Raw genomic sequence first — 21,232 nt, 5'->3', positions numbered from 1 at the left:
TGATTCTTGTATTTCCAGTGGACATAGGATTTTGCCATGTTGGCCACACTGGTCTGAACTCTTGGCCTCATGTGATCCACCCACCTTGGCCTCCAAAAGTGCTGGGATTACAGGTGTGAGCCACTATGCCCGACCTCCCCAGTGCTTTTTACAGCAAGGTCAGCTTGATCTCCACACACTGAAATTCCAGAAAGCCTTAAATAACCATAACCAAATTTTTCAGTAACCTTCATGATGGGTTTCCTCTTCAAAACAAACAAAAAAAGTACGCTCTAGAATTGGTCTCTTTCTCTCCTCATTTTCTGTCTGCAGTGACCCAGCAGAGAATCCTGCCCAGCTCAGGGGGCCTTGCTGTGGGTAGCCCTGGCATGGGTTGTGTGGGTAGAGCCCGGTCTCCGGGCTGGCTTCTGTTAGGTTTGTCTGTTGGCCCGTGTGATGGCTGTGGTCTCTAACCTGCCAGCGAAGCTGTGCTTCAGGTCTAGGCCATCAGGTTTCTTGAGGGGCAGGGAACCCCCATAGAATAGTGTGAAATCTCCAAGGCTATTCCAGGCTGGCGGAGAGAGAATTGTGTGTCCTTTGGACACCCTGGTTGTTGTCACACCCCAGGCAGCAGGGAGCTGTGGGCAACATGTGATACATAGGCACTCACCTGCTCATTCATTCAGCAAATATTATTGAGGCTCTGTGATGTGCCAGGCACTGTTCTAAGTGCTGGAGACATAGCAGGCAGCAAAGCAGTGTCCCTGTCTTCATGGGATTTAGATTCTAGTAGAGGAGACGGGAAATAAAATTAACAAGTAAGCATAGTGTGTGGTCAGGTGGTCATAAGTGCTATGGAGGACAGTAAATCTCTACCTGTCTACAGAGGTAGAGAGTGGACCACTGCATATAGGATGGCCAGAAAAGCCCTCACCAATAAGGGGATGTTTGAGGAGATGCAAGGGGAGAGAGGGAAGGAGTCATGAGGCAATGTACGTGTTTCAAGCAAGGAGAACAAATGCAAAGACCCTGCGCTGGGGCTGCGCTTGACACATCCAGGGACAGTGGAGACCAGAGTGGCAGGAGAGAGGAGATGGGGGCGTGGCAGTGAGCGATGAGGTCAATCTGACGAGGCCTGTGGGCCACTGGAAGCACTTTGGCTTCAGCTAAGGGAGATGGCCGCCACTGTGGAGTTTTGGGGCAGAGGGACATGCTCTGACTTCCCTTTAAATGGGTCATCATGGCTCCTACGCTGAGGGACTACAGGGGAGAAGGGGAGAAAGACCAGTTAGGAGGTTGTCATCACAAGCCAGGCCAGAGATGACAGTGGGTGGGGTGCAGCTGGGGAGAGGCGGGGATTCCGGATGTGTGGAAGGCAGAGCCAATGGGATTTGCTGATGTAGGCTGCGAAAGAAAGAAAACCTGGGGTAACACCAAGATTTTTAGCCCAGGCATCTGGAAGGATGAATTTTGCTATTTGGTGAGATGAGGACCATTCAGGAGGAAGCAGGCTGGCAGCAGGAATTCATCCTGGACATGTCAGCTGAGATCCTAGTGGACATGTATGGCACAGGTGGATATATGAATGTGGATTTCAAGAACAAGGTCCAGGCTGGCGATAAAAATTGGGAGCTAAAGCCTGAGAGCAGGTAGAGTGGTGAGAAAGTGGCATCTACAGAGAGGAGACAAGGACCCAGGACTGACATCTGGGCACTCTAACGTGAGAGGCCACAGGGAGGACCGAGCCAGAGAGATAGAAGGGTGGGGGCGAGGGCTGAGGAGTGGCCTTGGGGTTTGGCAACGAGGAGGGCATTGACCATCTCAGAAACAGTGTCAGTAGAATGGGGGGAGAGAAGCCTACTTGGAGCAGGTTCGAGAAGGAATGGGAGCAGGGAAACTAGAGACCAAGAGGTTTTTTGTTTTGTTGAGACGGAGTCTCACTCCTCTGTCACCCAGGCTGAAGTGCAGTGGAGTGACCTCAGCTCACTGCAATCCCCTGCCTTCCCGGTTCAAGCCATTCTCCTGCCTCAGCCTCCCTAGTAGCTGGGATTACAGGTGCTCACCACACCTGGCTAATTTTTGTATTTTTAGTAGAGACGGGGTTTCACCGTGTTCACCAAGCTGGTCTCAAACTCCTGACCTCAAGTGATCCACCCACCTCAGCCTCCCGAAGTGCTGGGATTACAGGCATGAGCCACCGCTTCCGGCCAAGATGAACAGTTTTGATGCCTCTTCAAACAGGTTTTCTGTAAAGGGGCCTGAGAAATATGGTGGTCATTAGGGAAGTGCATGGAGACGAGAGGTGTTTCTAAAGATGGGAGAAATGACAGCGTGCATGTGTGCCGATGGGAGTCACCCCATAGAGAAGGAAGAAAGCAGTGACAGAGGAGAGGACTGCTCCTTGTCCTTGAGTAGTTGGCCAAGGGAGAGACCTCCTGCACAAATGGAGGGTTTGGCCTCACGCAGAAAGAAGCACACTTGGTTCATCCCTGGCAGCAGGAGGGAAGGCGTGGGTGTAGGGAACAGGGCGTGTGGAGGGGATCTTTTGGGTGCTCTTATTTTCTCAGTGAAATACAGGACGCAAGAGCAGCAGTGGACGGTGAGAATGGGGATGTTCCCATCCAGCTTTCAGGGTCCCATGTGATAGTGCCCCGTGGCTGGCCTGTGTTCTGGGGACAGTCACTGGCCACATGCACTGCAGGGCATCAGGCAGCAGAGGCTGCCTTGGGCAGGACAGAGACAGGCCCGCCAACTAATGTGCCCCTTTTTGCCTCTGCCTCCAGGACTGTCCAACCCATTCCGGGGTCTCATGAAGCTGGGCACCGTGGAGCGGCGGGGGGCAATGGGCATCTGGAAGGAGCTCTTCTGCGAGCTCTCCCCGCTGGAGTTCCGCCTCTACCTGAGCAACGAGGAGCACACCTGTGTGGAGAACTGCTCGCTGCTTCGCTGTGAGTCTGTGGGGCCAGCCCATAGTGATGGGCGCTTTGAGCTGGTCTTCTCTGGCAAGAAGCTGGCCCTGCGCGCCTCCTCCCAGGACGAAGCTGAGGACTGGCTGGACCGGGTGCGGGAGGCCCTGCAGAAGGTCCGGCCTCAGCAGGAGGATGAGTGGGTGAACGTGCAGTACCCAGACCAGCCTGAGGAACCCCCCGAGGCGCCCCAGGGCTGCCTCTCTCCCTCAGACCTGCTCTCGGAGCCCGCGGCCCTCCAGGGCACACAGTTTGACTGGTCGTCCGCCCAGGTTCCAGAGCCAGATGCCATCAAGGAGTCCCTGCTGTACTTGTACATGGACAGGACCTGGATGCCCTATATATTTTCTCTGTCCTTGGAGGCTCTGAAATGTTTCCGCATCAGGAACAATGAGAAGATGCTGAGTGACAGCCACGGCGTGGAGACCATCCGGGACATCCTGCCAGACACCAGCCTTGGGGGCCCATCCTTCTTCAAAATCATCACGGCCAAGGCTGTCCTGAAGCTGCAGGCCGGAAACGCCGAGGAAGCCGCCCTGTGGAGGGATCTGGTCCGCAAAGTCCTGGCATCCTACTTGGAGACAGCCGAGGAGGCGGTGACCCTGGGCGGGAGCCTGGATGAAAACTGTCAGGAGGTGCTGAAATTTGCCACCCGGGAGAATGGCTTCCTGCTGCAGTACCTGGTGGCTATCCCCATGGAGAAAGGCCTTGACTCCCAAGGCTGCTTCTGCGCAGGTGCCGATTTGCTCTGCTGCCACCCCCAGCCTGCCAGCCTCACTCCACCTCCTGCTGGTTCCTGATTTAGGCTCCCCACCCTTCTGCCTCCCCGCAAATGCCCCCATCCTTCCCCTAGGGATGAGGCCACAGATCAGGCTTGCCCTACAGCTTCTGCTCCTCCCCAGCCCCGGCTGGGGCCAGTGCCCTGCTCATAGGCAGTGGGCCCTGCTCACCCGTCCCTCTCCTGCCACCTCCCACTGATGGGCGGCAGGCTGGCTACTCACTGCGCTGCTCAGGGAGTCCCAGCCTGCTTCATTTTCTTCTTGCTCTACCGTCCTGTTCTTTCAGAGCAGGGGCATGGTTTCCTTCCAAATATTTCTGCTGCTTTTATAAGTGTACACCCTTTTTTTTAATTATAAAAATGGGCTCGTGCTATTCAGTGCTGTCCAATAGAACTTTCTGTGATGATGAAAATGTCCTAGATCTGTGTGTCCAGTGCCATAGCTGCGAGCCATGTAGTGCTACCAGGTGCTTAAAGTGTGGCTAGTGTGGTTAAGCAACTGAATTTTCTATTTAAATTCATTTGCATTTAAAGGGGACACACGGGGCTCTTGGCTGCTGTGTTGAATGCTGGATATATTGTTCCACAACTTGGTTTTTTCCTACACTGTGGATGTTATTCCAAGTCAGTACATCTGCTATGTCTTCCTCATCATCAAATCTAATACTTCTGTGCTGGGCACTGGGCCAGCTGCTTTATTTGGATTATCTCATTTAAGTCTCATAACAACCCTGTAGAGATAGGCGCTACTATTATCATCTCTGTTGATAGGGGAGGAAACTGAAGCACAGAGCTGGTAAGTACCTGGTTGGTGTCTGCTACTGAGCTCACACAGCTAGTAAGTGGCAGAGGCAGAATTTTCCTTTTTTGTTTGTTTGTTTGTTTGTTTTAGTAGAGATGGGGTCTCCCCCTGTTGCTCAAGCTAGTCTTGAACTCCTAGGCTCAAGTGTTCCTCCTGCTTCAGCCTCCCAAAGTGCTGGGATTACAGATATCAGCAACCATGCCTGGCCAGAGGCAGAAATGGGACCCTGACAGTCAGGCCCCAGAGCCTTTGCTCATAGGCAGGACCCTAGAGGGCATCCCTCTAGGGTCTTATTCAAGGTTGAGTGACATCCCCCTGCCCATGTTCCATTGTTAGCCCCTCCCACTCCCCCCACCATCCAGGGGCAGATGGCATCCCATCACCATGGGACCCTTAGGTGACCTGTGAGGGGGTTGTCCTGCTGCAGAAGGCCAGAGCAAGAAGCTGAGCCTTGGTTTGGGAGCTGTCCTGTTGGCACAGACTGGAGGGAAGCCTGTTTCAAGCATCTGAAAGGAATTGGTCTGCGGTTGGCCCCGCGAGGATGGGAGAAGCTAGGCAGAACAGAGCTTCCTGCAGAAAACACCTGCAAGCCTCGCTTGACCTCTCCCCCGCCTGCCCCAGCGCTCACACTTTGCTCTTCAGCCTGTGAAGGCCAGGCTCTGAGGGGGCCAGGACTCCAGGGCTTGCAAGAAAGGGTTCCTCGCCTGTGGGTGTGAATGCTGCGGGGGCAACTCTCACCATGGCTGCCACCCACCAGCGGGTGGGACTGTGCCACCGGGGAGTTTGGGTTTCCTTTCTACCCAGCAGGCATGGCTCAGTGGCAGACACCAACCACTGGCATCTGGGTTGTATTTCATAATTTGCAGGGTACTTGCAGAACCTTGTCTCATTTAAGCTTTGTAATAACCCCACAAAATAGCTGGTAGTAGCTGAATTTTACAGTCACTGAAATGGAACCTTGAAGAAATCAGGTGAAGGTCAGGGTGAGGCAGCTGGTGAGGAGCAGAACCCGCCCTCTGGTCCCAAGGCCCGGGGACCCTTCTGCCTGCCCTTGGAGGAGTTAGGGCACATGTTCAGGGTTTGAGTCAGGGCCTCTGCTTTTTGCCCAGGGCACATCCCACTCCCATTCCCACTGGCTCCGGCTGTGGAGACACCTCCAACCAAGGGGGCTGAAGCCAGCCCTACCCCACAGTCCCGAGGCATCAGACACTGTGCACACTCCCCTGCCCCCTGCTGGCTGCCCATCCGCTCCCTGTTGCCAGCCCCGACCCTGGTCCCTGTCCCCCAGCTACTTCGCTGCTTGCCACAGCCCCTACTCTGCTGCTTCCATTCTGGGGCCCGAGTGGAGGGGTGGACCTAGAGGAGGCTGGCATTGCCAAGCCAGCAGTGGGGACACCGGACACAGGCAGCAAGGGGTAGTGGAGCAGAACTCAGGCTCTGGAACCAGCCAAACCCAGATCTGAATGCCAGCCATGCCACTTCATCACTATGTGACCAGACAGATTTCCTAACCTCTCTGAGCATCCATTTCTTCAGCTGTAAAATAATGATAGTTCTTACAGTGTGTTGTTGTAAAGATTAATTAGTAGGGGAGTTCTGAGTGGTGGAAATACGAGTGGTGGTTATTCTTGTGTTTGTGCCTACCTTAAAAAAAAATCAACCAGCAGATCCTTTCCACCACAGCAGCTCCCAAGTTACTAGGAGCTGACTCTGGCCACACCACTCACTCTCCACCCATCTCCCCAGGCTGCTCCCGGCAGATCGGCTTCTCCTTTGTACGACCCAAGCTCTGTGCCTTCTCTGGCCTCTATTACTGTGACATCTGCCACCAAGACGATGCCTCAGTGATTCCGGCCAGGATCATCCACAACTGGGACCTCACCAAGCGCCCGGTAAGTCTCAAGCCCAGCAGCCCAGCTGCTGAGGGACAGAGGGGTGTTCACTCCTCTTTGCTGCTGCTGTTCATCTGTTTAGAGGAGTTTGGCTCCTCTAAACAAGGGAAGCCAGGGTCACTGGTTCAGGCACTGTGATGTTGGGGAGCTAACCAAGAGAAAAGCTTGGTGCCTGTCCACAGCCTTGGGCAGGGCTCTATCGGTGGCTGTCTTGGTCCCCAGGAGGAAAGAGTTTGAGGATGGTTTCCTGCAGCTACAAACATAACTGCTTAAGGCACCAGCAGATAAATGATAGATAGATAGATAAAATAGATTTGATAGATTAGATAGATGGATGGTGGATGGTCAGGTAGGTAGGTGGATGAGCAGGTGGCTAGGTGGATGGTTAGGGGGCTGGGCAGGTAGGTAGGTGGATGAGCAGGTGGCTAGGTGGATGGTTAGGTGGATGGATAGGTAGGTAGGTGAATGAGCAGGTGGCTAGGTGGATGAGCAGGCGGCTAGGTGGATGGGTAGGTAGGTAGGTGAATGAGCAGGTGGTTAGGTGGATGGTTAGGTGGATGAGCAGATGGTTAGGTGGATGGGTAGGTAGGTAGGTGGATGAGCAGATGGTTAGGTGGATGGGTAGGTAGGTAGGTGAATGAGCAGGTGGTGGCTAGGTGGGTGGGTGGATGGGTAGGTGGATGGGTGGATGGGCAGGTAGTTAGGTGGATGAACAGGTGGCTAGGTGGATGGTTAGGTGGATGGATAGGTAGGTAGGTGAATGAGCAGGTGGCTAGGTGGATGGGCAGGTAGGTAGGTGGCTGAGCAGGTGGCTAGGTGGATGGGTAGGTAGGTAGGTGAATGAGCAGGTGGCTAGGTGGATGGGCAGGTAGGTAGGTGGATGGGTAGGTAAGTAGGTGAATGAGCAGGTGGCTAGGTGGATGGGCAGGTAGGTAGGTGGATGAGCAGGTGGCTAGGTGGATGGTTAGGTGGATGGGTAGGTAGGTAGGTGAATGAGCAGGTGGCTAGGTGGATGGGTTGGTGGATGGATGGATGGGTAGGTGGTTGGGTAGATTGGTGAATGGGTGGATAGGTAGGTAGATGGGTGCCTAGATAGGCAGATGGGTAAATGGTTAGGTGGATGAGTGGATGGCTTGGTGGGTAGGTGGATGGGTAGGTAGATAGGTAGATAGGTGGGTGAATGGGCAGATGGCTAGATGGGTAGATGGTTAGGTGAATGGGTAGATGGGTAGGTAGATGGGTAGATGGGTGGGTGAATGGGCAGATGGCTAGATGGGTAGATGGTTAGGTGAATGGGTAGATGGGTAGGTAGATGGGTAGATGGGTGGACGGTGGGTAGATGGCTGGGTGGATGGGTGAATAGGTAGGTGGATGGGTAGATGGGCTGGCCAGGGCTATACCTTGGAGCAGTCATCCTTGCCTTTGCCAACCCTATGAGGCCCAGGTGACTGCACTCCCCTGTAGGCCCTACATGGGCTTATTTATTTCATGTTTTTGAAAAGCACTTTTTCTGTGACTTCCCCCATTATTAAGATAATACACAGTTATTGTTTAACATTTTAAAGTTACAGAAAAACCCAAAGACCAATCAAAATTCTGTGTCATAACCAAGAGATCACCATTATTAACATTTCGGGGTATACCCTTTTCTGTGCATTTATTGACATATGCATCTATTTTTTATAAAGTTGGGATCACACAGGACTCATACTGCTTTATAAGAAGCTTGGTTCACTTAATATTATGCCTTGGGTACTTTTTTATGTTCACCAAATGCTTTTGAATAAGATGTATCTTAAAGTCTTTCAGAATTTTCCTTTTCTCCAGCTGAACTTAGCCACTTTCCTACCTGTGTTACCATGAGCAAATTAGCTTCAGTTTCCTCATCTGTAAAAGGAGGGTTAACAACAGTGTCTGTGTCGGGGTTGTTGGGAGGGCAGGTGTGGCAGTGTGTGCCTGTCAGTAAGAACAGTGTCCTTTCTCTCCCTGGGGCCTGTCACACCTCCTGCCTATATTCACCCACCCATCCACCCATCTACCTAATTCACTTGGTTAGTGTCTGCCTCAAGGGGTGCAAATTTGGTTTTCTTCCAAGGGCACAGATTTCTACTAAGACAGACACAGAAACACAAGGAAGAAGCTGTTTGCTCCTCTGGAGAGCCAGGGCCTGCCAGCTATGTAGTCCTGATGTGTGGATGTGTCTTCATCATAGTGCAGGGTGATTCTCTCAGTCAGTTCTACCTCAACCTCCACCTCCCTGGGGCGGGGAAACCCCGCAGAAGTTGGCTTCATTTTGATTTTTTTGTTGTTTGCCTTGTCCCCGCCCTCGCTCTCAGTGTTAAATATTTAACTAACTACATAGAGGAAATTAAGCCTCAAAATCACCAAAAATGCAAAGAACCCTTTGATCATAAAACACGTTAACTATTTACAGGACCCTGATACTTCCGTTGAGCCATCTCCTTATTCACTGCCCTCATCCTTGTGCCACTTCCTTTTCTAACTAGAAAAGTACAATCCTAGCTGGGCACAGCGGCTCATGCCTGTAATCCCAGCACTTTGGGAGGCTGAGGTGGGCGGATCACCTGAGGTCGGGAGTTGAGACCAGCCTGACCAACGTGGAGAAACCCTGTCTCTACTAAAAAATACAAAAATTAGCTGGGCGTGGTGGCGCATGTTTGTAATCCAGCTAATCCGGAGGCTGAGGTAGGAGGATCTCTTGAACCTGGGAGGCGGATATTGTGGTGAGCTGAGATTGCGCCATTGCACTCCAGCCTGGGCAACAAGAGCGAAACCCCACCTCAAAAAAAAAAAAAAGAAAAGTACAATCGTTTTCTAGGCATATCTGAGATCAGGAAATCCTCAGCTCGCTCTCCCTCTCAAAGATTGCTGGCCTAGGAAAGACAGGGAAACTCAAGATAGAAAGTAGGGGGCCCACGGGTTTGGGGCCTTATTGTTCGCCGTTGCTGTTCTGGCTGACCCACTGGTGCTGAGGCCTGGCTGACCCACTGGTGCTGAGGCCTGGCTGGCACTGGCAGGATGTCAGCCCAGGAGTGGGGCTTCTTTCTGTCTCCTCCATTCCCGCAGGATAGGAACAGTCGCTGGGGAGCACAAAGCCCCTGCCCATCTGCAGTGTTTGGCAGTGTTCAGCGCACATTCCTGTGTGTTATTTCACTGGAGCCTCACCCAAGGCCTGGGGCCAAGTCATGGGAAGAGCTGAGTTAGGACTGGAGAACAGCAGCTTGACCCAAGTCACCAGGAGTTTGCCATTGGGCTGTCCCTGGGCTGGGGGGCTGGTACCTCAGGGCCCCAGGCTTTGGGAAAAGAAGAGGTTGTCCATTGCTGGGGGAGGTGAGAGATGCTGGTGGAGCTGGGAGACAAGAGGTCAGAGGCCCCCTCAGCCCCCAAATACAGGGGCAGGTCTCCTGAGGGCCAGTTTAGTCCCCCAACCCTCAAGGGGACAACAGGGCCACACCAGGCACTCACACAGCAGCTGATAGCAGCTCACATTTACTGGGGATGTGCCACCTGCCAGGCCCTATGCCAGGAGCTCTCCTGGAATACCTCTTTTAATCTGAATTCAAAATAATCCCATGAAAAAGAAGCTCCAGTCCTGGGCTGACATCCTGCCGAGTGCCGGGCCAAAGCACTAAAGCAGCAGCAGCGAACGAAAAGGCCCCAAACCCGTGAGCCTTAATTGCTCTCATTTTCCCCATTTTACAGATGAGGAAACTGAGTCACAGAGAGGGATAAGTTTCACCAATTCATACAGGTATAAAGTGGTGGAGGCAGGATTCAATTCCATTCTGACTCCGAAGCCAGACTTTTTTTCCCCTACACAATTTATCAGAATTTGAAAAGGTTGCTGGATACGACAGTCAAATAAATCAATTTCATTTCTATATATCAGCAAACAAATTACTATTTTAAAAGATAATCACTTATAATAGTATCAAAAACAAAGCCACCAGAAATAAAATATGTAACGAGAGGACTAGTTAAGATGTTAAAGATCTGAGCCAGGCCAAAGCCAGACTTCTAGTCACTGTGCACTTGTCGGCTGTGGAGACAACAGCTCCTCCGTCCTTATGATACAGCGAGATCACTGCAGGGGAGGGGGCTTCTGATTAGTGCAGCAGCCTGGTGTTCAGAGATGACACCTCAGCTCAAACCTGGCAGGTTCTGCAGGCAGGTTGTATAAGCTACGTTAGCCCCTCTAAGCCTCCGTTTCCTTATCTAGAAAACGGGGACAGGGACACCCTCCCTAACGTGTTGTTCTGAGAATGACGGGAGGATGTGGTCAAGTTCCTGACCCAGTGTTTTGCAAATAGTAGGCGCTCGATTATTGGCATTGGTATTAGGATCAGGGCCAAGGGTAGAACCTTCAACACCCTGTCAGCCAGGAGAGACTGAGATGGATCACTCAGCTGCACACGGAGTCCCGGTGTTGCTACTGGTGTGAGCCGAGGGAGCTCAGGGAAGCCTGTTGGTGAGCTGTGTCTGATCTGTAGCTTCCTGTGGCTGGAGCCTGACTCAGCCCGTCACCTGGTTCCTGAGTCAGGGCACAGAAGGGAGTGCCTGTTTCCTTCAGTGGGGGGAAATAGGGGCTGGGAGGACAGGAAAGAGTGGGAAGGATCTGTGAGGCCCAGAGGGAGGGGGCGTTATCAGAGCAGTCCCTCCCTCATCTCAGCATGATTGGGGAGGGGGCAGTGACCCTTGTCATTAGAGGGAGAGCGGGTTTGGGAGTCAGATAAACTGGGTTCAGAGCTTGACTGTACCATTTACAAGCTGGGTGACCCTAGCCAAATCTCTTCATCTCCTTGAGCCTCAGTTTCCCCATCTGTAAAATGAAGATAGCCCCTCAGGTAAGTGAGCAGGTCATGTGGCACCTGGCCAGGCAGTGCTCACTGAACAGCCATTCCTTCCCATCCCCAATGCCTGGTGGTACCCCCAGATCTGCAGGCAGGCCCTGAAGTTTCTGACACAGATCCGGGCCCAGCCCCTCATCAACCTGCAGATGGTGAACGCGTCTCTGTACGAGCATGTGGAGCGGATGCACCTCATTGGGAGGAGACGGGAGCAGCTGAAGCTCCTGGGGGATTACCTGGGCCTGTGCCGGAGTGGCGCCCTGAAGGAGCTCAGCAAGAGGTGAGCAACCTCTACGTGTATGCGTGTGAGTGCACGTACACACGCACATGCATGCACACAAACACATACTTATATGCACATGTACACACAGACACACATACACATGTGCACACATACCCACACACATAAATTTATACACAAATGCATAGACATCCACACCCATGCACATGTGCACAAATGTACACACATGCAGGCACTCGTGCACATGCACACACACACAGGGGCAGTGCCCAGGGCAAGGCGTCCACCTGGAGGAAACCTGGGCAGAGATCTTCCCACTGGGCCTGCGAAATGATCACATCTTTTGGGGGTGATTTTGGGGTTTTGTTCATGTATCTATTTGTTCACTCAAAAACATGGACTGAGAACATACTAAGCACTGCACACCTGGCGAGGCATGTAGGCTCCAACAATGAGCAGGACAGAGCCAGGGCCGACCCGCCGGAAGTCTCTGGCCTGGCAGGGAAGACAAGTAGGAAAGCCAGCAACTCCATCCGGGGGTGAGGGTGAGAGGGAGACAGGTGGGAAAGCCAGCAACTCCATCCGGGGGTGAGGGTGAGAGGGAGACAGGTGGGAAAGCCAGCAACTCCATCTGGGGGTGAGGGTGAGAGGCAGGACGTCCTGGAACCACAGAGGCTTGACATCCAGCCCAGATCAGAGGAGGACAAAGCAGGAAGGACTTCCTGGAGGAAGTGACTTATAAGGTGAGACTTGAAAAATTAGGAAGAATCAGAAAGGAGAAGCAAAGGGGGAAAGAGCATTCTAGACAGAAGGAATGGCACGCACAGGCCATGAACGAAGGCACCGTTGGTGGAAAGCCCAGGGAGAACTTTGGCTACAGTGAGGAGGGAAGTGGGGAGTGTGGCGAGAGGCAGGTGAGGGCCAGATGTTCCCATCTCTTCCCTGTACCAGCCAGTCGTCTGGCCCATGCCAGCCTCCCTCCTGAAATTCTCCAAAGAAGACGTGATCCGGGCGGGGCCCTCAGGATGCCCTTCAGGAAGCTTCTCTTACCCAGGGCCTGGGGCCTTTGGTGCTCAGGAATGGGATGTGATGCTGGGCTTCAACAGGGACTTAGGCCTCTCCATGCCTGTCATAAACGCTTCCTAGTCCTCAGGTCACGCCCAGGCTGCAGTCTTCCCAGGGCTGTACTCTCCCAGCACCCTCAGGAGGGCAGACCTCAGGCGGAGAAGCCTGCCGGTGCCTACTGCCCAGAATGGGCTTCAAATCAACCTCTGCTGGGTTTCTGGGGGCAGGGACCAGTTCACAAGCCCCTCCAGGTTCCCCCGTCTGGCCTTCCCTCCCCACAGGGCTGGCCCAGAGAGCGCCTCTCTGAAGACTGCCTCCTCCATCCTGGCTGCAGTGCTCCCAGAGCCGGGCCTCCTCAGGGCCAGGGTGTGCCTCGAGCAGGTCCCCAGGGGCTCTCAAGGGGTACTGCAGGGGGCTCTCCCCTAGGCAGAGAGGAGAATTTGGCCCCACAGCTGCCAGCTGAGCCTTGGTCTCCTCTGTAGGGCCTGGAAGAACAGAAAGCCTTCCAGGGACCACCATGTGGGACCCTAGACCCTAGAAGACTTCACCCCAGGAGGCTCTGCCCATCCCAAGCATCGTGGGTGACTGGGTCTCCACCTCTTGGCAAGCGCTGACTTACTCCCTACCTCTGAGAGTCCATGACCCAGGGCTCCAGAGAGACTATCCTCCTGCCCACCTAACCAGGTGGTGAAATCTCTGGGGTCAGGTGGGGCCTTATCACCCTCCTTGGTCAAGGAGCCAGGTACCTGCACAGGCATGCAGACCTGTGTAGACCAGATGCCTGTGGGGTGGGTTGTGGACCCCAGCCCCATTCACCCATCCCCACCCTGCTGAGAGAGTCTGTTCATCGGCTTTACAGACCTGTCTCTGTGGGCACCAGGGGCAGCCCTGTCTCTCTCCCTGACCCTCCTGCTCCATCCCTGGGCAGCAGCGCTGTACTCCTGCTAGGCGCTCAGCCTGCTTCCCATGCCTGTGGAAGTCCCATGGAAACAGCATGGGGCAGGGGAAAGAGTGTGGGAGGCCCTCACCCACTGTGAGTCAGGAAAGTTGCTTCACTTCTCCGGGTCCAGCTTTCCCGTCTATAAAATGGGCCAGTGATTCCTCTGTTCCTGTGGCCTCCTGAGCAGTGGTGAGAGCTGCATGAGGGACCCAGAGTCTGGGCCACAGATGGCCCTGGGTCAGCATCGTGTGTGCCCTGAGGGCACCTGATCCAGCCTTGGCAGGGGCCAGAGGAGCTCCCAGAGGAGATGGCATCTGAGCTGAGGGCATGCAGAGATATTTTCCTTTTTCCTTCTAAAATGTTTTTCTTCTTTACAAAGGTCAATCTTCCAAGCGAGGAAAATTTATGAAAGGGAATAAAGCAGACCATTCAATCAGCCCTTCTCAGAGCCCACCACCACCTGTTTCTGCACCTCACTCCATCCACACACACATGTTGCCACACCAGTGGCATTGTGTGTCTGTTGAACTGGGGCTTAGAAAAATGAGAAAAGAGTAGAAAGGGCAGAGGAGAACCTGGCTTTCCTGGCTAAGAGACCGGTAGCAAGAGGCTGGCAGGAGCACAGCTCACTGACACCCTTGAGGGGCTCTGGGCAGCTGGGCTTCAGGTGCAGGGCCCAGAACTCAAAGGGCCCTCGAGGCCTTTGGATTTGATCTGCCACCTGTGGGGAACCATTGAAGGGTTTTGAGCATAGGGCTGTCACTTCCGGTCAGCGGCTTAGAAAAGACCACTCTGAAAAGACCAGGTGCGGTGGCTCATGCCTGTAATCCCAGCACTTTGGGAGGCCAAGGTGGTTGGATCACCTACGGTCAGGATTTTGAGACCAGCCTGGCCAACATAGTGAAACCCCGTCTCTACTAAAAGTACAAAATTAGCCGGGCGTGGTGGCAGGCACCTGTAATCCCAGCTACTAGGGAGGCTGAGGCAGGAGAATCACTTGAACCCAGGAGGCAGAGGTTGGAGTGAGCCAAGATCACGCCACTGCACTCCAGGCTGGGAGACAGAGTGAGACTCTGTCTCAAAAACACAAAACAAACACACAAAAAGACCATTCTGGCCCCAGTGGAGTGCAGTTGGTGAAGGGGAGAGCCCTGGGTGGCAGCTGGTGTTAGTAATTAGCCCAGGGAGCTGGGCCTGGACCGAGTCAGCCAGAGGGAAGGTTGAGAGGAGAGGGCTGAGACATGGGAAGGTCTTGGATGTCAGGGAGTCAGGGAGGAGCTGTCCTGCACTAGTGGCAGCTGCCTGGCAGGGTTCTCTCCGGCAGACCTGGGACATGTCTCCAAGGGCCAGAGAAGCCCCTGACAGTGTCCTCTCCAGCCCTTGGGAGGAAGCCATCACAGAAATGCCCCACACCCTGTCCACCCACCAGACCTCATTGTCCCTCCCGACAGCCGGGAAGGGGTGGGCAGAGGAGGAGCCAGGGCTCAGGAGACAGGTGGCACCCAGGCCCCCCACCCATGTCCCCCGGATCTTCCAGCCCTTGCCTGGCCCTTTCCTTCCCCATCACTTCATCGGTTCCAGGAACTAAGATTCGACCTTTCCCCTCATCTTCTTCTCTCCCGGAGAGCCGTCCAGATTCCTCTGGTCTCTTTCCCAGGTAGCCAGCCTCACGCCAGAGGACAAAGAGGGTTCTCCTCATTGTGTGGGTGGAGAAACTGAGGCCCCAAGTAGGCCTGACTGTGCCCCAGTGCATGAGAGTTTCTCTCCTGGAGGCCAGGAGAAGTGGCCTCTCACCCCTGGGTCAGCGCCCTCTCCCCTCTGGCCTTGACTGAGCACTGCGGAGAAGCCACTTCCAAGTCCTTGCTGAGAGGGTGACAGGCCCAGGGCACAGGGGCTCCCAGGGCTTCCACGACTGTGGTCAGAGGACAGATGGCAAAGCTAATTCTCCATCCAGATCCGCCCACCCTCCTGCCAGCTGAAGGCCAACCTGTGTCCCCCCAGCCTGCTGTGTCCCATGTTTTCTTGGTGACAAATGGCAGCTTCCCTTCCTAGAGTGCAGGAAGTTTACTGGGGACACCAGCATGGTAAACTGAGGGGCCAGTTGGCATCTTGGCCTGTGTGGCTGCTTGGTGAGACTCACCCTCTCCACCCCGGATTGGGCTCCCCTGGACCACAGCTGAGCCACCAGCTGGGACAAGGCCAAGCCCCCATTCCAGATGCTCCACAGTTTGCACCCCGGAGGCCCAGACCCAGGGCTGGCACCATCCTGTCCCCAGATGTCTGGGGCATCCTGGGGCAGGTTCCCAAGCATCCTCTGACTTGGAGTAACCTCCCACCCCCAGTACCCATGTAAACACACACAGCCAGGCCAGGCAGGTTTTGCACTAAGGGACTTTCTGCAGGTGTTTCCTCCCCATCAGGATGGGGCCCCCTGGATCCCTCCCATTGGTGTGGTAGAAACTAGAGCTGCGTTGGCGGCTGAGCCCTTGTTCTCTGCTCCCCCGGCCACCTCTGAAATGGGATCTGCTGTGCTTAGGACACGTCTCAGCACTGAAACCAGTGTAGCACTGAAACCAGACACTTGAATGTCTGTCCCTCGGCCAAACCAGGGGCCACAGGAGGGCAGAGGCCATATCCTGTGCATTGCTGTCCCCAGCACTGTCCCTGGTATGTAATGGTGGCAATAATGACAACAGCCTGCATCTCTAGGCATTTGCTAGGTGGACAGGGGTGCAGGCTCTGGAGCCAGGCCCCTGTGTTCAAACTCCAGCTCTCCCACCTACTAGCTGTGTGACCTCAGGCAAGTGATTTAACCTCTCTGTTTCCTCTTCTCAGAGTTGGGATTGTGATAGTACCAGCCTCACAGAATTATTGTGAGGATCAAATGAATGAATGCGTATGAAGCTCTTAGCCCAGTTCCTGGTCCCAGGTGTCTGCACCCATCCTCCTTCTCATGATTAATTACGTGTTTACTGTGAGCTTGGCACCAAGCCAAATGCTTTAAATAAGTTACTTAATCCAGACAACTCCATTTCCCAGAGAGGGAAACCCAAGGTTCAGAGAGGTTAAGTAACGTGCCCAAGGTCCCACCAGCTAGTTAGTTACGTTGAAGACCAGGCCCCAAGCCCAGGCAGGCCGAATTACACTCCTAGCCCCTGCCCCGCCCAGGCGGGGGGTGTCTGCCTGGTGAGCAGCGCCAGGGGAGTGTAAACAAACAACACAGGCTAGCCTGGGTTCTGGAAACCTTTCTAAAGAATCGCTTGTGTTTTGTTTGAAGGCTCAACCACAGGAATTATCTCTTGGAATCTCCGCATAGGTTCAGTGTTGCTGACCTCCAACAGGTAAGAGTGTCATGCTTCCCCCGCCCAGACCTCTAGAGAGACTTCATTCCCAGAGAAGTCAGCAAGGAAGATGGAAGAGGGGGTGTCTGTAGTTTACTGAAGAAGACAGCAGTCTGTAGCTTTTCTGCAGCTCAGGGTGGGTTGCCCTGCTGCCCCAGCTTCCTGGGCAGGGACGGATACCCCCAGCACCCCTGGAATAAACAAGCACTCCAGCAACCCCAGGATCACAGGGAAGAGAGTTTGGAATACTCCTTTCCCCAAGGGGAGGGTACAGTGAATTTGGGTCTCAGCTATAAATCCCATTAGCCCCCAGTGACCTCAGTGCCCACGGGCTGGACGCTGGCATTGCTCAGCCTGATTCAGGGAGGTTTTCTTTTCTTGCCCGTGTGGAAACGGGGGGTAGAAGTTCTCCAGGCAGGGTGCCATGGCACCTCAGTGCAGCTGCTTGAAAGGCCTGGGGCCTCAGTTTACCAGCCCTCCGCAGATCGCAGACGGGGTGTATGAAGGATTCCTACTTGCCCTCCGCAGATCGCAGACGGGGTGTATGAAGGATTCCTCAAGGCCCTGATTGAATTTGCCTCCCAGCATGTCTACCACTGCGACCTGTGCACCCAGCGCGGCTTCATCTGCCAGATCTGCCAGCACCACGACATCATCTTCCCCTTTGAGTTTGACACCACAGTCAGGTATGCGGGACACCCAGCCAGCCGCCTTCCAGCCCCACCCTTCCCCACACCCACAGCCTGGCCCAAGCACGCAGGGCAGCAGGCTTCGCTCTGTGGGCAGGAACTTATTGAACATCCACTTTGTGCTGTGCCAAGGGGTGGTGCAGTTGTTGGGGCAGCCCATGCTCTGGGCAGTCATGGCCAGCTCCAGTCCAGCTCAGGGGACAAGACAAGCTTTCCCAGGACTCCTCTGCCTCTATGGAACCATCTCTCTTCCTAAAGAAGAGGTGGCTGCCGGCTCTCTGAGTGGAGCCTCCTGGCGCCTCAGTGTATGCATGGGTTGAGGAGGGTTGTATGAGTTACCACCCTGCACTGTTGGCATGAGACCAGGCACAAAGTGGCACCTGGTGGGTGGTACCTGCCACTGCCACTGTGTCTGTTGCTGAAATGATCACTCTTGTTCCCAGTTATTGCTCATTATCCGCAACCTCTCAATGGAAAAATTTGTCCAGACCTTCCTGCAACCCATGTGGGAGCAGAAAACTGAACTGGGAACATTAGTTCTTTTTCTGTCGGTGTCCACTGGCCGGGATGCAGCCCTGAATGGGCCTGGGGCTGAGTTTTTAAAATTATACCATCTTGGCCGGGCGTGGTGGCTCACGCCTGTAATCCCACAACTTTGGGAGGCCAAGGCAGGTGGATCACTTGAGGTCAGGAGTTCAAGACCAGCCTGGCCAACATGGTGAAACCCCGTCTCCACTAAAAACACAAAAGTAAGCCAGGTGTGGTGGTGGGCACCTGTAATCCCAGCTACTTGGGAGGCTGAGGCAGGGGAATCACTTGAATTCGGGAGGCAGAGGTTGCAGTGAGCCGAGATCGTGCCACTGCACTCCAGCCTGGGCAACAGAGCAAGACTCTGAAAAATAAATAAATAAAGTAAGTAAAAAAAATTTTTTTTTTCTTTTTGAGATGGAGTCTTGCTCTGTCGCCCAGGCTGGAGTGCAATGGTGCAGTCTCGGCTCACTGCAAGCTCTGCCTCCCGGGTTCATGCCATTCTCCTGCCTCAGCCTCCCCAGCAGCTGGGGCTACAGGCACACACCGCCACGCCCGGCTAATTTTTGTATTTTTAGTAGAGACAGGGTTTCACTGTGTTAGCCAGGATGGTCTCGATCTCCTGACCTTGTGACCCGCCCACCTCGGCCTCCCAAAGTGCTGGGATTAAAGGCGTGAGCCACTGCGCCTGGCCGTAAATATTTTTTAAATATAGGCAAGAGATCTTTAATGAATCTCAAGCAGCATTTATAAAAAATGCAATAGGACAGAGAATATCAGTGTGCATTGTGTGACGTATGGGTAAGCACTGTTTCAAGACTCTCCTGTTCCAGAACGGAGAGGCACGGTGTGCGTGCATGGGTTACACAGTACATCACAGCCGTATCGTGGGTTCTGGTCAAAAGGGCTGGCCAGCGTGGCCACAGGGCAACCTCCAGCCCAGCCGGCACCAGCAGGCCTACTGCTCTCTCCCCAGGTGTGCCGAGTGCAAGACCGTCTTCCACCAGAGCTGCCAGGCTGTGGTGAAGAAGGGCTGCCCCCGCTGTGCCCGCCGGCGCAAGTACCAGGAACAGAACATTTTCGCCTGATGCCCATCTGCTGACCCCGCTCTGAAAGCCGGGGGTGAGTGTGGCTCAGCCATCCCGGCTGGGTTTGCCATCAGCCCAGGATACTCACCGTGTCACAGCTGTGTCCCCTTGTCAGGAAGACCCTCAGATGTGGCCAGAGCACCGGCCTCCCAGAGAAAGCCCAGGAAGTCCCCGTGGTGTCCCCTGGCCCTCCCCCCACCCCTCTGCTGCAGGAGGCGTGGCCACCACCAGATGCTCCCTGTCTGGGGCAGGCAGGGCCGTTTACTCACCAGGCCCTGGCTCACCAGCGTCCCGGCGCCTCCGTTAGGGCTGCCCAAACACTGTGGAAAGGGGACTTGGGGAGCATTTTCAATTCCACATTCCTGATTAAAAGGTCTAGTTTTTTAAGGTGGGTTTTTCCCATTCATATTTCAACAGAAAGTATTTTTTTATTCTTGACCCTACGTGAGTCACCCATGAAATCCAGACATTCTCACCCCCAGCGGATGCACAGGAGCCACTCAGGCCTGGCTTAGAGGTAGCGGGTGGCTGGTGGGCAGGCCACTGCTGGGACAGGGTCTATGGGCCCACCCAGTGCCTTTCCTTGGCCCTCACTGCCAGTGCCAAACCGCCCCTCAGCAGGGCAGGGCCAGTCCTGGCGACCCCGGTTCCTCTGTGTCCTCTTTACTCCCCACCCCAGTGCGTCTCGCCTGCTGAGCCCACCGCTTTCTCAGCGTCAGAGCCCCTAGCTCTTCTCTAGCCTGGGGCCTTGGCCCCATTAGGAGAAGGAGAAATGACTGGAAACCAGCACTGTCAGCACTTTGAGCCCTCCTCGGTTTATGGAGGGTCGCCGTCTTGCCCACCCCCGATCCCCGTGCGCTCCTCACCCCTCTACAGACAGGGGCGCTGCTGCAGATGCTCCAGGCCCACCTTGGTGGGTGCCCGGGGTCACACTCTCTGCCTGACTGACCCCTGCCAGGGCACAGATAGGCAGGACCCCAGAGAGGGCAGGCAGCCACGCCCTGCACTGTGGAGAAGTGACCTGGTCCTAAGCTGTGCAGGGCGTGCGGGGGAACTGCCCTGTGGATGCAGCCACCACCTCACAAAGCCATGAATTCCCAAAGCATCACTGAACTTGCCCAGCCGGGACACTGGAGACTGAAGAAGTTCCCCGGAGCAGGACTGCCTTTGAAGGGGCCTTGGGGCTGGGGTGGGAGTCTGGAATTGTTTTCAAAGTGATGGTCAGACCCTCCAGGCTTCGGGGAAATGTGGGTTTGCTGGTCTCTCTGTCGCCTTCCCCCACCTCTCCTGGACCTAGCAGGCCCTCAGTCCTAGCTGTCTTACCTGCGCTCAGCTTGGAGTCAGGCCTCAGGTGGAGAGCCGCATGTCACTGTCAGAGATGAGCCCACCCCCACCCTTCCCTGGGGGCGATTAGCTGCTGAGTCACCCACCCAGCCTTGGAGCTGGATGCCTGTGCAGCAGAACAGAGGCAACGGTGGCAGGCAGGTGGAGGCTGCGCACAGCTTCTCCCGGTCATGGCACACACCTGTGCCCAGACGCCAATGCCTCCTAAGCCAGGAGCTGGGTTATGCACCGCCATGGCCCACATTAACGCTCCACCACAAGCCCAGCCTAGTCAGAGCCCTCATTGCCCCATCCCTGAGTGGGCAGGAGCCTGGCCTGGGGAGGGCTTGGGCCTGTGAGGATTCTCCCCGAAGGTGCCCTCGGAGGCAGCAGGTTTGAGGCCCTGGGGGGCCCGTTCCCCAGAAGCTGCCAGTGCTTTCAGATGCATTGACTCTTCCCGCCTCCCCTCCCTCAGAAAGGTAGTGCCCACACTATTTTTAAAATGTTATTTTATGCAATACACTGTTCCTAGTGAGCAGGGCTCTGGCCCTGAGGAGTCTTTGCAATGTATTGAAGGAATTGCTGCCGTGTGAGTTTTGAATGATTTTGCAGTAAAGACCTGATCTTTCTCATCACTGGTCTGGCTTCTGAATTCTAACACTGCCACGGCCAGGGGGGAGACCACCAGCCATCTGTTACCATCTGTCAGGGTCCCCTACCCTCATGTTAGTC

At 54.7% G+C, this 21,232-nt stretch overlaps 1 protein-coding gene across 14 annotated transcripts in view, besides 1 other annotated feature; it reads left to right on the top strand.

The window, feature by feature from the left end:
* PLEKHM1 (pleckstrin homology and RUN domain containing M1) overlaps window positions 1–21,232 on the top strand; it is a 56,513-nt gene that overhangs the window by 33,687 nt on the left and 1,594 nt on the right. For 9 of the 14 annotated variants that reach the window (NR_027774.2, NR_027782.2, NM_014798.3 and 6 more), the window contains 6 exons: window positions 2,763–3,680; window positions 6,272–6,417; window positions 11,372–11,565; window positions 16,809–16,872; window positions 17,401–17,558; window positions 19,066–21,135. Coding sequence is in view for 12 of the 14 variants with exons in the window: in NM_014798.3 (NP_055613.1) it covers window positions 2,763–3,680; window positions 6,272–6,417; window positions 11,372–11,565; window positions 16,809–16,872; window positions 17,401–17,558; window positions 19,066–19,177 (1,592 nt within the window). In the remaining 2 variants the exon portion in view is untranslated. Of the gene's footprint in view, window positions 1–2,154; window positions 2,221–2,762; window positions 4,102–6,271; window positions 6,418–11,371; window positions 11,566–16,808; window positions 16,873–17,356; window positions 17,559–19,065; window positions 21,136–21,232 lie in introns of those variants that run through there. The other 5 variants (XM_047437189.1, XM_047437191.1, XM_011525528.3 and 2 more) reach the window with 4 other exon arrangements.
* Window positions 20,543–21,196: an enhancer, noted in NCBI's record as "H3K4me1 hESC enhancer chr17:43513205-43513858 (GRCh37/hg19 assembly coordinates)". NCBI's record gives its function as "activates a minimal SCP1, AML or CMV promoter by ChIP-STARR-seq in naive H9 embryonic stem cells {active_cell/tissue: H9 hESC(naive)}" and the evidence as "EXISTENCE:reporter gene assay evidence [ECO:0000049][PMID:30033119]".

The sequence above is a fragment of the Homo sapiens genome, chromosome 17 (genome assembly GCF_000001405.40).
Source record: "Homo sapiens chromosome 17, GRCh38.p14 Primary Assembly".
Taxonomy (NCBI): Eukaryota; Metazoa; Chordata; class Mammalia; order Primates; family Hominidae; genus Homo; species Homo sapiens.
Note: the sequence above shows the minus strand (reverse complement) of the source record. Positions and strands in the feature narration are given on the sequence as shown.